Source organism: Homo sapiens, chromosome 2 (assembly GCF_000001405.40).
Source record: "Homo sapiens chromosome 2, GRCh38.p14 Primary Assembly".
NCBI classification, from domain to species: Eukaryota; Metazoa; Chordata; class Mammalia; order Primates; family Hominidae; genus Homo; species Homo sapiens.
In genome coordinates, this window is record NC_000002.12 from 240,475,451 (window position 1) to 240,491,135 (window position 15,685).

At 43.8% G+C, this 15,685-nt stretch overlaps 1 protein-coding gene across 43 annotated transcripts in view, besides 3 other annotated features; it reads right to left on the reverse strand.

Moving 5' to 3' along the window:
• Positions 1–15,685, reverse strand: part of ANKMY1 (ankyrin repeat and MYND domain containing 1) — a 92,433-nt gene that overhangs the window by 6,819 nt on the left and 69,929 nt on the right. For 28 of the 43 annotated variants that reach the window (NR_171692.1, NR_171690.1, NM_001393471.1 and 25 more), the window contains 3 exons: positions 6,733–6,811; positions 5,487–5,647; positions 3,972–4,205 (listed from right to left, as the gene is read on the reverse strand). Coding sequence is in view for 34 of the 43 variants with exons in the window: in NM_001393471.1 (NP_001380400.1) it covers positions 4,159–4,205; positions 5,487–5,647; positions 6,733–6,811 (287 nt within the window). In the remaining 9 variants the exon portion in view is untranslated. Of the gene's footprint in view, positions 1–3,971; positions 4,206–5,486; positions 5,648–6,732; positions 6,812–15,685 lie in introns of those variants that run through there. The other 15 variants (NR_171691.1, NR_171698.1, NR_171696.1 and 12 more) reach the window with 3 other exon arrangements.
• Positions 2,746–3,255: an enhancer, noted in NCBI's record as "H3K4me1 hESC enhancer chr2:241417613-241418122 (GRCh37/hg19 assembly coordinates)". NCBI's record gives its function as "activates a minimal SCP1, AML or CMV promoter by ChIP-STARR-seq in primed H9 embryonic stem cells {active_cell/tissue: H9 hESC(primed)}" and the evidence as "EXISTENCE:reporter gene assay evidence [ECO:0000049][PMID:30033119]".
• Positions 3,256–3,765: an enhancer, noted in NCBI's record as "H3K4me1 hESC enhancer chr2:241418123-241418632 (GRCh37/hg19 assembly coordinates)". NCBI's record gives its function as "activates a minimal SCP1, AML or CMV promoter by ChIP-STARR-seq in primed H9 embryonic stem cells {active_cell/tissue: H9 hESC(primed)}" and the evidence as "EXISTENCE:reporter gene assay evidence [ECO:0000049][PMID:30033119]".
• Positions 3,766–4,275: an enhancer, noted in NCBI's record as "H3K4me1 hESC enhancer chr2:241418633-241419142 (GRCh37/hg19 assembly coordinates)". NCBI's record gives its function as "activates a minimal SCP1, AML or CMV promoter by ChIP-STARR-seq in primed H9 embryonic stem cells {active_cell/tissue: H9 hESC(primed)}" and the evidence as "EXISTENCE:reporter gene assay evidence [ECO:0000049][PMID:30033119]".

Here is a 15,685-nt window from a genome sequence, read left to right on the forward strand (position 1 = left end):
GTAAAAGATCCTTGCTTAAATACTTAAATAAAATACTTAGCAATAAATTTAAGCGAGGTAAAAGAACCTTGCTTAAATACTTAAATAAAATACTTAGCAATAAATTTAAGGGAGGTAAAGGATCCTCACTTAAATTTATTGCTAATTATTTTATTATTTTTATGCTATTGTAAATGGCATTGTTTTCTTAATTTCTTTTTCAGATAGTTCATTGTTAGTGCATAAAAACACAACTAATTTTTGTATGCTGATATTGTATCTTGCAACTTTAATGAATTCATTATTACGTCTAACAGGTTTTTTGGTGGAACTTTTAGAATATATACTGAATACCATAAATATATAAATACTATAAAATATAGAATATATACTGCAAACTATAAAATATTGATGAGAGAAATTAAGGTACAAACAAATGGAAGACATTTTATGTTCATGGATTGGAAGAATACTGTTAAAATGTCCATACTACCCAAAGCAGTTTACAAACTCAATGCAATGTCTATCAAAATTCCAATGGCATTTTTTTTTACAGAAATAGCAAAAACAATCTTAAAATTTGTGTGGAATCACAAAATACTCTAAACAGCTAAAGCAATCTTGCAAAAGAACAACAAATCTGGATATATCACACATCCTGTTTTAAAGTATATTACAAAGCTGTAGTAATCAAAACAATATGATACAGTCATAAAAACAGATACAATGAAACAGAATATAGAGTCCAGAAATAAACTCACACATATGCAGCCAACTAATCTTTGACAAGGGGACCAAGAATATACAATAGCAAAAGGAGCCTCTTTAGCAAATGGCGCTTGGAAAGTCGGATATGTACATGCAGAAGAGAGAAATTGGACCCTTATCTTACACCATATACCCTTATCTTACACCATATACCAAGTGACCACAGTATCATCTCACAAGCCAGAAAACTCTGCTCAAAAGATGCCAACTGTCTGCCAATCAAATGAAACAAGATAATTGCTAAGTCCCAACGAGACATTTTAGAACTTGACACACACTGCACAATTCATCTGGAAGAAAAAGCACATGGTCACCGCAGGGCCTTTCACAGGGCCGGTGAAGAGGAGGGTGGGCCTGTCCTGGCAGATGTGAAAAGGCCACAGAGCTGCAGGTGGAGACAGCAGAGCACAGAAGGGGCCCCTACGGCAACTAAGAGGCAGGCATATGCCCACCAGGGAAAAGAAATGGATTACTCGATCACGCCCATTGTTTGGGGATAGATCTAGATAGCTGGCTCTCAAACCTTACACAAAAATTAATGCTAGATTGGTTATACAATTACAGGTTAAGCAGTAATTCATTAAAACGGTGGTGAGAATCTGGGCAAAGGCTACCCTTGCATACATAAGCCCAGCAAGGGACTGCTCTCTACGCACTCCAGCAAGCCAGGCCCTGAGGAAAGGACACGTGGATTTCACAACACGAGAAAAACTTCCACGTGCAAACTGCAAACTGCAAGACAGTTATTTGCACACAAGGCATAGGAGAAGTTGCTGTGCTTTAGAGAGTTCCCATCCATCAGGAAGAGCAAACATCTCCAATGAAAAGGGACCAGTGGAGGCCGGGCGCAGTGGCTCACGCCTGTAATCCCAGCACTTTGGGAGGCTGAGGTGGGTGGATCACGAGGTCAGGAGTTTGAGACCAGCCTGCCCAACGTGGAGAAACCCCATCTCTACTAAAAATACAAAATTAGCTGGGCGTGGTGGCGCATGCCTATGATCCCAGCTACTTAGGAGGCTGAGGCAGGAGAATCGCTTGAACCCAGGAGGCAGAGGTTGCAGTGAGCCAAGACCCTGCCATTGCACTCCAGCCTGGGTAACAAGAGAGAAACTCTGTCTCAAAAAAAATAATAAAAATAAAGAATATGTTCCCCAAAATGCTCAGAATGCTTATCCCTGAATTTTAAGATTAAGATGATTTTCTCATTTTTAAAAATTAGTTGTTAGCATCTTTCTCTCATCCAGGCCAGAGCACAGTGGTGCCATCACAGCTCACTGTAGCCTCACACTCCTAGTTCAAGCAATCCTCCCACCACAGCCTCCTGAGTAGCTGGGACTACGGTGTGTGCGACCACACCTGACTAAGATCTTTTTTTTAGAGACAGGGTCTATGTTGCCCAGGCTGGTCTGGAACTCCGGGGCTCAAGCAATCCGCCTGCCTCGGCCTCCCAAGTCACTGGGATCACAGGTATATGCCACCTCCCCCAGTTATTTTTATCACTCTTGTCTTTGCTGTCTTCTTTCTTAAATAAGCGTATATTGCATATATAATAAAAAATAAAGCTATATTCATTTGGGGAAATTATGTTGCAGAAAAATATTTAATAACATAGATGTTCATGGCCTAGTTCAGAACAGAGAGGATGCTCCCACTTTTAGATACACGTCTGTCTGTGTGCACTCATGCCTGTAGAGATCAGAAGGACACACACAAAGCGTTGGCCATGGTAATATCCAGGTGTCTGTGATACGCTTTGGATCTATGTCTCTGCCCAAATCTCATGTTAAATTGTAATCCCCAATGTGGGAGGTGATTGGATCCCGGGGGCAGACTTCCCCATCTGGTGCAGTTCTCGTGGTCATAGAATTCTCACGAGATCTGGCTGTTTTGAAAAGTGTGTGGCAGCCCCTCCCCTTCCTCCCGCTCCAGCCATGCGAAGTGCCGGCTTCCCCTTCTCCTTCCGCCATGATTGAAGCTGAGCACATGCCGCCATGTTTCCTGTGCAGCCTGCAGAACCCTGAGCCAATTAAACCTCCTTTCTTTATACATTTTCCGGTCTCTGATATGTACGTGTAGCAGTGCGAGAATGGACTAATACAGTGCGGATAATTGTCACTTACAGGTTCTTTCTTTTGCTTTGTAGATATTCTCTAACTTTTATAGAATTAAGTGTACCATCAAATAAGTATCCATTAGCAGCTTTTTCCTTTCTAGCAGAGGTAGTGGAAGCCGGGGGTGCCTACACCCACCCAGCATCCCAGACCCCCCTGAGCAGGAACAGCTCTTGGCGGCAGGGAGCCAGCTCACACAGTTACGACCCTCCCAGGGGCAGCCTGTGGCTGGTGACCAGCCGATGCAGGGGTACAAAGGCCTGGTCCCTGCGTCCGTTGGGAGCCCCTATGAAGAGCCACCCAGCGGTCAGCTTGTCCCTCTGCCCAGGCTCACTGCTGACCCCTTACAGAAGCCTTTCCCAGGGCACCCCCAACAAACCCCCAGCATGGAGCCCATCTTTGGCGAGACCAGGAAAGTCAGTAAAAAAAAAAAATCACTGCAGGTGCAGCTGCTTTGACAGCCACAAGCCAGCCTGGAGCGGGGTCTCACCTGCTTGGCTCCAGCCCCGACACAGGCTCCCACCCCCCACACTCCCAGCTATTCTGCCCTCAGCAGCAAACCCCCATCGTCCTCATCCCTGGACGCTGTCCCCTTGTCTCCGGGGATGCTGTCGTCCTTCTCCAGGTCCGCCCCTCACTGCGCATCTTCCCCTGCCCTCTCCGTGAATTTCCACGCAGGCCACCCTCGAAGGCAACACTGCTCCCTGTCATGTGCTCCAGGCCCTCCTTCCTCTCATTCCCAGTGATTTCCACAAACACCATCGTCCCCAGAACACTCAGCACACAGCAGACACTCCGTAAGTGCACGGGGAACAAACGAGCACCGCAAACCCCAGTAGGAGCCTTGCACCCATGGGCACCTGAGCAGGGAGTGGAGCCTGCTGCCGCGGGCTCCTGGCAAGGTCCCAGAACAAGCTCCAGAGACCCAGGAGCTGCCCCCACCGCCATCTCTGCAGCAGGCTCCGAGTCCTGACCCTCACCTGCCTCGTCCATCAGGATGGCCCAGGCCATGCCCCATGGGAGGCCAAGCAAGATCAAAGCCAGGGGCAGAGGCAGGCACGGGCTCCACAAAAGCTCTGGGACTTTGCCCAGCTAGGGGCAGAGCACAGCACAGACTGTCAAAATCACCCCGTGGGGCCAATTTATTGCGAGGTCGCAAGGGAGACACTGCTACAAAGCATGACCCCAAAGGTGCAGAAATGCCTGCATTAGGCTGGAAGATTCCCTGAGGTGGCTCAGGCAGGTAAGAAACCCACACAGTCCTGGGTCCTCCCCAAGCCTCGGACGTGCAGCTGCTGCTTCACTGGAATTCTTCTCTCCTCCTGGAAACTTGCTCCAGTTGTGTCACTGGAGGAGGAAAAGGTGTGGGGGAGGGGGAAGAGGGGGCTGGAGCTGGCCTCCCCCGAGGCCTGGCTCCAGAACTCGGGCTGTGTGGGGCGGCTGAGGACTGTGCTCTGTCTAGAGCTTTTGCAGGCAAGGAGTCGGGATGCAGCAAGGACTGAGGGCTATCTGCCGTGACTCTTCAAAGAGGGGCCTGCCACACCCACCAAGTCCCATCCTGGAGTCTACAAGCCAAGGAGCTGCGACCTCACCGAGGGCGCCTGTTATTAAAAGCCCCATTGGCTGCGCGCGGTGGCTCATGCCTGTAATCCCAGCACTTTGGGAGGCCGAGGTGGGTGGATCACCAGATCAGGAGATCGAGACCATCCTGGCTAACACGGTGAAACCACGTCTCTACTAAAAATACAAAAAATTAGCCTGTAATCCCAGCTACTCGGGAGGCTGAGGCAGGAGAATCACTGGAACCGGGGAGGCGGAGGTTGCAGTGAGCCAAGATCATGCCACTGCACTCCAGACTTGGCGACAGAGCAAGACTTCGTCTCAAAAGAAAACAAAAAGCCCCATTTTATGGAGGGGGAAGGAGGTCAGCAGCCATTCACTTCAGGGCACAGGCCTAAGGGGGCAGGGGCTTTCCCAGACCCACTCCCGTCCCCACCAGGCCGGGAACCCAGCCAGGTCCCAGTAGAGCGGTCACCACTGCACAGCTTCGCACACCAGCCTCGGCAATGCCCGCCACCCTTGCGGCACCGGGCCCTGTTCACACCAAGGAGGTGAGGAGGGGCTTGCGGGAGACCAGAGTGTTTCTAGAAGCAGACACCTGTTGACGTCCACACTAAGACAGACATCTGAGACGGCAGGCTGGGAGGAAATTTCCTGAAGGAGCCCCAAGGCCAACTGCCCTGTGGTCCAGAGGCACTGGTGACCAGCAGAGCCCCCAGGTGTCAGTGAAGCCTCTGGATGTCAGCAGAGCCCCCTAGGAGTTCAGTGAAGCTCCCAGGTGTCAGCAGAGCCCCCAGGGGTCCATGTTCCAGCTCTGCAGGGATGGGGTGGTGTCCCCTTCCAGGACGAGGACAAGCATTATGCTGCCACAGTAGGTGAGGAAGAGCCAGGCTGCCTCAGTGGCCCCGATGCCCACCTCCCAACAGGCCGATCTGGAAATGTTGGGAAAGTGGCCTGAATCTGGAGAGATTTTGGGAAATGAGGGTGCCCCTCACCAGCACCCCAGGCCTGCGCCTTCGCCCTCAGCAGCAGCGGAACCCTTGCCTCCCAGCCTGAGGGCCGACCTACCGATGGCCACCAGGTCCCCGCAGTCCTTCTTGTGGAACTCGGTCCAGGCCTTGGTCTTGCAGTACTTGCTGCAGGTCAGGATCCCGTAGCAGCGAGGGCAGGGCAAGAGGCGGACCCCGATGGAGCGGCCACACTGGTAGCAGAACTTGAAGAAGGGAATTCTGCAACAGAGCCTCACCGTCAGCAGGCGGCCACTCCAGAACCTGCTTCCCCACAAACAGCCGCTGCCTGGGAGCTGTGCCTGGCCCTGAGCTCCTGGGCTATTCCCCACCGTCCCGCACTGTCCCCTGCATTGGGCAGCCTTCACACACAGACAAAAACCCCCAAGTCCTCGTCCTGAGGATGTTCAGCACAGTGATATTTAGAATAGGAAACCAACACATTCCGAGCTCTGGGAACCACCTGTGCCCACCAGTAGGGGCTGGTTCAGTGAATGCACATCCATTCAGGAGACCGCCGTGGGGCCACACACACGATGGTGCGGAACTCCTAGGCACATAGGGAAATGTCTGTGGTACAGTGTTGCATGGGAGAAGTGACTCTTCGAGGGCAGGGCATGGAGGCTGCCTTTGGGGTGAAACTCTAAGCACCAGTCTCCTCTGCTTTAGGAGGAAAAAGAGCCTTCCTGTCCTGCACCAGTCCCCTCTCCATCACCTCGATGGGTTGCTCAGGGTTTATGAGGTGGGGATGCCAACAAGAATAGGGCCTGGTTCCTGCCCTCTCATCTCAGAGGGGCACACAAGCATGTAAAGAGACTGTTCTGGAACAGCAGAGTGAGTGCAGGGTTGAGACTCCAAGGAGAGGCCAGTGGTGGAGGGAGGGGCTAGGAAGGTGCAGGTGTGCAGGCTCTGCCGCATAGCCAGCAGGCCAGGCAAGCCTCCACAGGACATCTTGCAGAAGCAAAGCCTGGGCTCAAACCCCACTCAGCGGCCGTCTCTGGGATGGGAGGTGGCCACCCTCCTGCAGGACATGGAACCCCTGTCTGTGACCCACTCGGAGCAGCCCAGGGCAGCTCCATGAGTGTGCCCTATGACTCTGCACCCTCATCTGCAGGGTGCATCATCTGCACCTCATCTTGGTTGAAGCCCACAGCCTGCAAGCAGGACTTCCTAGAGGAGGCCATGCCACTTGGGGGTCAGATGGCATGGAGGCTGTCCCGGGATGAGGTGGTCAGGCCAGGCACAACAGCACTGTCCAAACCACAGGCTGCCATCCTGGAAAGAACCCAGCCTGCAGACACACTTACTGCCCCTGCTCCTTCACATCCAGGCCCCTGGGCAGGCTGGGGCCCTTCTTCTTCATCCTGTGGCTGGGGATCAGCTCCGCTGCATGAGAGAGGGTCCCGCATTAGTACCCACGTGGCAGGGTGGGGGCCACCACTGCAGAAGCCACCTCCTTGCGCCCTCCCTGTGGTGCCTGCCTGCACTACTCGGGAGGCGGATAGGGGGAAGCAAGCCTTTGATGGCTCCATAGTGGGTGCGAGGACGCAGAGCGGGATGTGGACCTGGAGGCGCAGGGCAGTCCACAGGCTCCAGGGAGGGGCTTCACTCTTCAGTCTGCTGCTTCGCCTGTGTTGTGTCTTCTTTTTAATTCATTTCAAAGTGTTTCAAATTTCCCCTTTGGGTTCTTCTTAAACTTGTTATTTAGACATGTGTTATTTTATGTGAGTTTCCCAAATGTCCTTCTGTTAGTCATTTCTAATTAAATTCTACTGTGGTCAGAGGATATGAAATGTATTATTTCTATTCTCTTAACATGATTAAGGGATTATGATCTATATACAGTCTGTCCTGGAGAATGTCTCCAGTATGCTTGAGAAGAACACAGGTTCTGTTCCTGTTGGGTAGAGTGTTCTAGAGATCTGGTAGGTCTAATAGGCTTGTATGGTTCAACTTCCTGTTCCTTGGTGACCTTCTGCCTAATTTTTTGATCAGTTGTTGAAAGTGAGGAGTTGACATTTCTGACTATTATTGTTGAGTTATCTGTTTCTCCATTTCTGTGGCTTTTTGCTTCATGTATTTGGGTGTCTGTGATTAGGTGCATATGGGTTTATAATTGTTACATCTTCCTAACTGATGATCCTTTTATCATAAAATGTCCCTCTTTCTCACCAGTAGCATTTGTAAATCTATTTTTTCTGATATTAGCCATTCCAGCCTTCTTGTGATTGCTGTTCCCATGTTAGTTTTTCATCCTTTTACTTTGTCTGTTTGTATCATCGAATTTTTTTTTTTCTTTTTGAGACAGTCTTGCTCTGTCAGCCAGGCTATAGTGCAGTGGCATGATCTTGGCTCACTGCAACCTTCGCCTCCTAGGTCCAAGTGATTCTCCTGCCTCAGCCTCCTGAGTAGCTGGGATTACAGGCTTGCACCACCACACCCAGCTAATTTTTGTACTTTTAGTAGAGACAGGGTTTCACCGTATTGGCCAGGCTGGTCTCAAACCCCTGACCTCAGGTGATCCATCCTCCTCGGCCTCCCAAAGTTCTGGGATTACAGGCGTGAGCCACCGCATCTGGCCTGTATTATTTAATTTATCATGTGTCTCCTGTAAACAGCACATAGATGGATCTTGTGTTTTTATCCAATGTGACAATCTCTGCCTCTTGTTTAATCTCTTCACATTTAATGTTATTAATGATATCCTGTAGTTGGATTTACATTTGATATTTTGCATTTTGTTTTCTATATGTCTCAGAATTTTCCTCTTCCTTTATTCTTCCTTTACTCTTCCGCATCAAGTGGATTCTTTTTCTTCTTATTATTATACTTCAAGTTCTGGGGTACATTTGCAGAACGTGCAGGTTTGTTACCTAGGTACACACATGCCATAGTGGTTTGCTGCACCCATCAACCTGTCATCTACATTAGGTATTTCTTCTAATGCTATTCCTCCCCTAGCCCCCCACCCACCAACAGGTCCCAGTGTGTGATTTTCCCCTCCCTGTGTCCATATGTCCTCATTGTTCAACTCCCACTTATGAGTGAGAACATGAGGTGTTTGGTTTTCTGTTCCTGTGTTAGTTTGCTAAGAATGGTGGTTTCCAGCTTTATCCATGTCTCTGCAAAGGACATGAACTCAGCCTTTTTATGGCTGCATAGTATTCCATGGTGAATATGTGCCACATTTTCTTTATCTAGTCTATCATTGATGGGCATTTGGATTGGTTCCAAGTCTTTGCTATTGTGAATAGTGCTGCAATAAACATATGTGTACATGTGTCTTTATAGTAGAATGATTTATAATCCTTTGAGTAGATACCCAGTAATGGGATTGCTGGGTCAAAAGGTAGAGCTTGTATAGCGAAGACAATCCTAACCAAAAAGAACAAAGCTGGAGGCATTACGCTACCTGACTTCAAACTATACTACAAGGCTACAGTAACCAAAACAGCATGGTACTGGTACCAAAACAGAGATATAGACCAATGGAACAGAACAGAGGCCTCAGAAATAATGCCATACATCTACAACCATCTGATCTTTGACAAACCTGACAAAAACAAGCAATGGGGGAAATGATTCCCTATTTAATAAATGGTGTTGGGAAAACTGGCTAGCCATATGCAGAAAACTGAAACTGGACCCCTTCTTTACACCTTATACAAAAATTAACTCAAGATGGATTAAAGACTTAAATGTAAGACCTAAAGCCATAAAAACGCTAGAAGAAAACCTAGGCAATACCATTCAGGACATAGGCATAGGCAAAGACTTCATGACTAAAACACCAAAAGCAATGGCAACAAAAGCCAAAACTGACAAATGGGATCTAATTAAAATAGGGCTTCTGCACAGCAAAGGAAACTATCATCAGAGTGAACAGGCAACCTACAGAATGGGAGAAAATTTTTGCAGTCTATCCATCTGACAAAGGGCTAATATCAAGAATCTACAAAGAAGTAAACACATTTACAAGAAAAAAACAAACAACCCCCTCAAAAAGTGGGCAAAGTATATGAACAGACACTTCTCAAAAGACGACATTTATGCAGCCAACAAACATGAAAAAAAGCTCATCATCACTGGTCATTAGAGAAATGCAAATCAAAACCACAATGAGATACCATCTCATGCCAGTTAGAATGGTGATCATTAAAAGCCAGGAAACAGCCAGGCGCGGTGGCTCATGCCTGTAATCCCAGCACTTTGGGAGGCTGAGGTGGGTGGATCATGAGGTCAGGAGATCAAGACCATCCTGGCTAACACAGTGAAACCCCGTCTCTACTAAAAACACAAAAAATTAGCCAGGTGTGGTGGCATGCACCTATAGTCCCAGCTACTCGGGAGGCTGAGGCAGGGGAATGGCGTGAACCCGGGAGGTGGAGCTTGCAGTGAGCCGAGATCGCGCCCCTGCACTCCAGCCTGGGCGACAGAGCGAGACTCCGTCTCAAAGAAAAAAAAAAAGAAACAAAAATAGTCAGGAAACAACAGATGCTGGAGAGGATGTGGAGAAATAGGAATGCTTTTACACTGTTGGTGGGAATGTAAATTAGTTCAACCATTGTGGAAGACAGTATGGTGATTCCTCAAGGATCTAGAACAAGTGGATTATTGTTAATGTAATGTCTTAACTTATCCAATAATTTTAAACTATATTTCGAGTTCTTTCCTTAGTGGTCACATCAGCCTTTACCACATGAATCTTCTTTTTTTTTTTTCTTTTCTTTTTGAGACAGGTTCTCACCTTGTCACCCAGGCTGGAGTGCAGTGGCATGATAGTGGCTCACTGCAGCCTCAACCTCCCAGGCTCCAGTGATCCTCCCACCTCAGCCTCCTGAGTAACTGCGACTACAGGCCCATGCCACCACGTGGGGCTCATTTTAAAAAAAATTTTTGTAGAGACAGGGTCTTGCCATGTTGCCCAGGTTGGTCTTAAACTCCTGGGCTCAAATAATTCTTCTGCCTTAGCCTCCCAAAGTGCTGGGATTATAGATGTGAGCCACCATGCCTGGCCTACCATATGAATCTTGACTGGTCATAATCAGCTTCAGACCTATACTAACAGCAGTGAGATATTAAAAAGTTATTCCTATATAGGTCTATTTCCTTTTCTGCCTTTTTGTGATATTATTACACATTACATCTATAAAGGTTATAAATCCAACATTATAAGATTATTACTTTATATAATTTTATGTATTCTAAAGAAGCTGAGAGAAGGAGAAAATGTATATATTTATAGCTTTGGTTATATCAAAATCATTTACCATTTCTGGATCTCCATTTCATCTTCTCAATTTGAGTTACCACTTGGAGTCATTTCTTACCACAACAGAACTTTCCTCCTGCCCACTTCCTTTGTACTGTTATTGCCAAATATAATACATTTCTATATGTTACAGGCATACACACATATGCAACCACACACGCATGCACACACACACATAATATATAAATTCAATGCATACATATATATATACAAATTGCTTACATATAAATTATTTTTAAATTGCTTTTAAAGTCAATTAACAAAGAAGAAATATGCATTTATATTCTTCTTTACAATTAACTTTTCCAATGCTCTTTGTTCATGTGTATCATTTAATTCCTACCTTAAGTTACTTGCTTTCAAAATACCTTTAGTATTTCTTGTAAGGGAAGGCTATAACAACCAATTCTCACAGGTTTTATCTGGAAATATGTCAATTTCACTTTCATGTTTGCAAGTTAACTTGCTGGATATAAGATTCTCAGTTAACAGTTTATCTAACTCTGAGCACTTTGTTTTTTGTTTGGTTACTTTTAATTTTCTTTAAATAGAGACTGGGTCTCACCATGTTGCCCAGGCTGGTCTCAATCTCCTGGGCTCAAGCAATCCTTCTGCCTCAGTCTCCCAAAGTGCTGGTATTACAGGCATGAGAGCCACCATGTCCAGCCATCTTTGAGCACTTTGAATACGTCATCCCACTGTCTTGAGTCTCCTCTAACAACCCTCCATTGCATCCTTTTATTATTATTTACACAAATATTATTATTATTATTTACACAAATTTGTGGAGCACATCAAAAAGTTTTGTGACATGTATATACTGTGTAGTGATCAAGTTAGGGTATTCGGGTGTCCATCACCTGAATAAAATACATTTTTGTTAAGTATAGTAATTCTACTCTGCTCTAAAACATTGACTTTATTTCTTCTATCTTACTGCATCTTTGTACCCTTTAAACCTCTTCTCTTCATCCTACCCACTTTCTCTACTCACCCTTCCCAGTCTCTGTTATCTATTTTTCTAGTCTCTACCTCCATGTGTTCAAAATGTTTAGCTCCCACATATAAGTGAGAACATATGATATTTGTCTTTTTGTGCCCGGCTTATTTCACTAAGATACTAATCTCCAGTTCCACTTGTGTGGCTACAAATGACATGATTTAATTATTGTCTATGTCTGAATAATATTCCATTGTGTATATATACCACATTTTCTTTATCCATTTATTTGCTGATGAACATTTAGGTCAGTTCCATATCATAGATAGCTATTGTGTATTGTGCTGCAATAAATAGGCAAGTGCAGATACTCCTTTGATATACTGATTTTTTCCCCTTTGGGTAGATAGTAGTGTGACTGCTGGATCAAATGATAATTTTTTTTTTTAGAAATCTTCATACTGTTTTCCATAGTGCCTGTACTAGTTTACATTCAACCAACAGCATATAAGAGTTCCCTTTCCTTGGCATCCTTTCTACCGTCTGTCATTTTTTGTCTTTTTATAATAGCCATTCTGACTGATTTGCATTTCTCTGATGATTAGTGATGTTGAGCTATTCTTTTGTTTTTTTTAGGCATAAGACGAACAGATGAGCATTTTTTCATACACCCACTGGCTGTTTGTACGTCTTCTTTTGAGAAATGTCAATTCATGTCATTTACCCAAGTTTAATAGGATTATTTTTTCCTGTTGAATTGTATGAGTACCCTGTATATTCTGAATATTAGTCTCCTGTCAGGTAAATAGTTTGCAAATGTTTTCTCCATTCACCAGGTTCTCTTCACTATGTTGATTATTTCTTTCATTATGCAGAAACTCTTTAGTTTTATTAAATCCCATTTGTCTATTTTTGGTTTTGTTGCCTGTGTATTTGAAGTCTTAGTCATACCTTCTTTGCCTAGATCAATGTCCAGGAGAATTTGCCCTAAATTTTGAATATTTTTATAGTCTCAAGTCTTGTGTTTAAGTCTTTAGTCCATGTAGAGTCTATTTTTATATATGGTGAGAGATAAAGGTCCACTTTCATTCTTCTGCATGTGGCTATCCAATTTTCCCAGCACCATTTACTGAAGAAAGTGTCCTTTCCCCAGTGTATGTTCTTATCAGCTTTGACAGAGATCAGTTGGCTGTAAATATTTGGTGTTATTTCTGGGTTCTTTATTCTGTTTCATTGGTCTATGTGTCTATTTGTACATCAGTACATGCTGTTTTGGTTACTATAGCTTTGTAGTATATTTTGAATCCAGGTAATGTGATGTCTCTAGCTTTGTTCTTTTTGTTCCAGACTGCTTTGGCTATTTGGGATTTTTTTGGTTCTATATGAATTTTAGGATTGTTTTTTCTGTTTTCGTGAAGAATGGCATTGGTATTTTGATAGGGATTGTATTGACTCTGTATATTGCTTTTGGTGGTATGGCCATTTTCACAATATTAATTCTTCCAACCCATGAACATGGGATGTCTTTCCATTTTTTTGTGTGTCCTCTTCCATTTCTTTCATCAGTGTTTTATAGTTTTCCTTATGGAGATCCTTCAACTCCTTGGTTAAATTTATTCCTAAGTATTTTTTTGTAGCCATTGTAAATGTGATTGCCTTCCTGATTTCGGTCTTGGCTAAGTCATTATTGTTGTATATAAATGCTACTGATTTTCTTGTATTTTAGTTTTGTATCCTGCAATTTTACTGAATTCATTTATCAAATCTAAGAGTGTTTTGGTGGAGTCTTTAGGTTTTTCTAGATATAGAATAATATCATCAGCAAAGAGGGATAATTTGACTTGCTCTTTTCCATTGTGGATGCCTTTTATTTCTTTCCCTTGCCTGATTCCTCTGGCTAGGACTTCCAGTACTAGGTTGAATGGGAGTGGTGAAAGTGGGCAACCTTGTCTTATTACAGTTCTTAGAGGAAAGGCTTTTAATTTTTCCCTATTATGATGATGTTAGCTGTGGGCTTGTCATATATAGCCTTTATTATTTTAAAGTATATTCCTTCTGTGCCTTGTTTCTTAAGAGTTTTTATCAGGTGGGCATGGTGGCTCACACCTGTAATCTCAGCACTTTGGGAGGCCACGGCAGGCAGATCACCTGAGGTCAGGAGTTCGAGACTAGCCTGGCCAACATGGCAAAACCCCGTCTCTACTAAAAATACAAAAAAATTAGCTGGGCATGGTGGCAGGCACCTGTAATCCCAGCTACTCTGGAAGCTGAGGCAGGGAGAATTGCTTGAACCTGGGAGGCAGAGGTTGTAGTGAGCTGAGATTGTGCCACTGCACTCCAGCCTGGGCAACAGAGCAAGACTCTATCTCAAAAAAAAAAAAAAGAGTTTTTATCATGAAGATTTGTTGAGTTGTATCCAGTGCTTTTTCTGCATCTATTGAGATGGTTATATGGTTTTTGTCCTTCATTCTGTTGATGTGATGTATCACATTTATTAATTTGCATATGTTGAACTATCCTTGCATGCCAGGTAGAAGCCTCACCTAATCTTTTGAAAGTGCTGTTGGATGTGGCTTGCTAGTACTGTATTGAGAATTTCTGCATCTAGATTAATCAGGAATATTGACCTGTAGATTTTTCTGCATGTGTCCTTGTCTGCTTTTGATATCAGGGTGACACTGGCCTGATAGAATGAGTTAGGGAGAATTCCCTCCTCCTTAATTTTTTGGAATGGTTTCAGGAGGATTGGTATTAGTTCTTCTTTATATATTTGGTAGAATTCAGCTGTGAATCCATCTGGTCTTGGGCTTTTCCTTGTTGAGAGACTTTTTATTGCTGATTCAATCTTGCTACTCATTATTGCTCTGTTCAGGTTTTCTAGTTATTCCCCATTCAATCTTGGTAGACTCGATGTTTCTAGGAATTTATCCATTTCCTCTGGGTTTTCCAGTTTGTCATATAGTCTCTGATGATCTTTTGTATTTCTGTGGTATCAGTTGTAATATCTCCTTTTCCATTTCTGATTTTATTTACAGAGATTCATTTCTTCAAATAAGATATGGAAGGAGAAATTTATTCTCTCTTCTTGGTTAGTCTAGCTACCAGTTTATCAATCTTGTTTTCAACTTTTTAAAGAATCAACTTTTTATTTCATTGATTCTCTGTATTTTTTCTCTATTTCATTTAGTTCTGCTCTGATCTTTATCTATTTTCTTCTAATTTTGGATTTGATTTGTTCTTGCTTTTCTAGTTCCTTGAGGTGCATTGTTAGATTGTTAGTTTGTAATCTTTCTACTTTTTTGCTGTAGGCATTTATTGCTATAAAATTCCCCTTAGCCCTGTTTTTGCTGTATCCCACAGGTTTTGGTATATTGTGCTTTTATCTTCGTTTGTTTCAATACTTTTTTATTTCCATCTTAATTTCTTCGTTGACTCAATATTAATTCAGAAGCATGTTTAATTTCCATGTTGCAAATTTGTATATACATAGTTGTATATATTTGTATAGTATACATATTTAAATAGTAGAAATTATGCATTTGTATAGTTTACAGAGTTCTTCTTGGTACAGACTTCTAATTTTACTCCATTGTGATCTGAGAAGATACCTGGTATGATTTTGATCTTTTAAGTTTGTTGAGACTTGTTCTGTGGTCTAACGTATGGTCTATCCTGGAGGATATTCCATGTGCTGATGAAAAGAATATATATTCTGCATTTGTTAGATAAAATGTTCTGTAAATGTCTGTGACGTCCATTTGGTCTGATGTCCTGTTTCAATTCAATGTTTCTTTGTTTATCTTCTGTCTAGATAATCTGCCTAATGCTGAGAGTGTGGTATTGAAGACCCCCATTATTATTGTATTGCAGTATATCTATCTGTCTTTAGATTAGTAATATTTGCTTTATGAATCTGGGTGCTCCAGTGTTGGGTGCATATATATTTAGCATTGTTATATCCTCTTGCTAGATTTATCCCTTTATCGTTATATAATGACTTTGTCTTTTTTTTTTTTTTTTTACTCTTCCTGACTTAAAGTCCATTTTA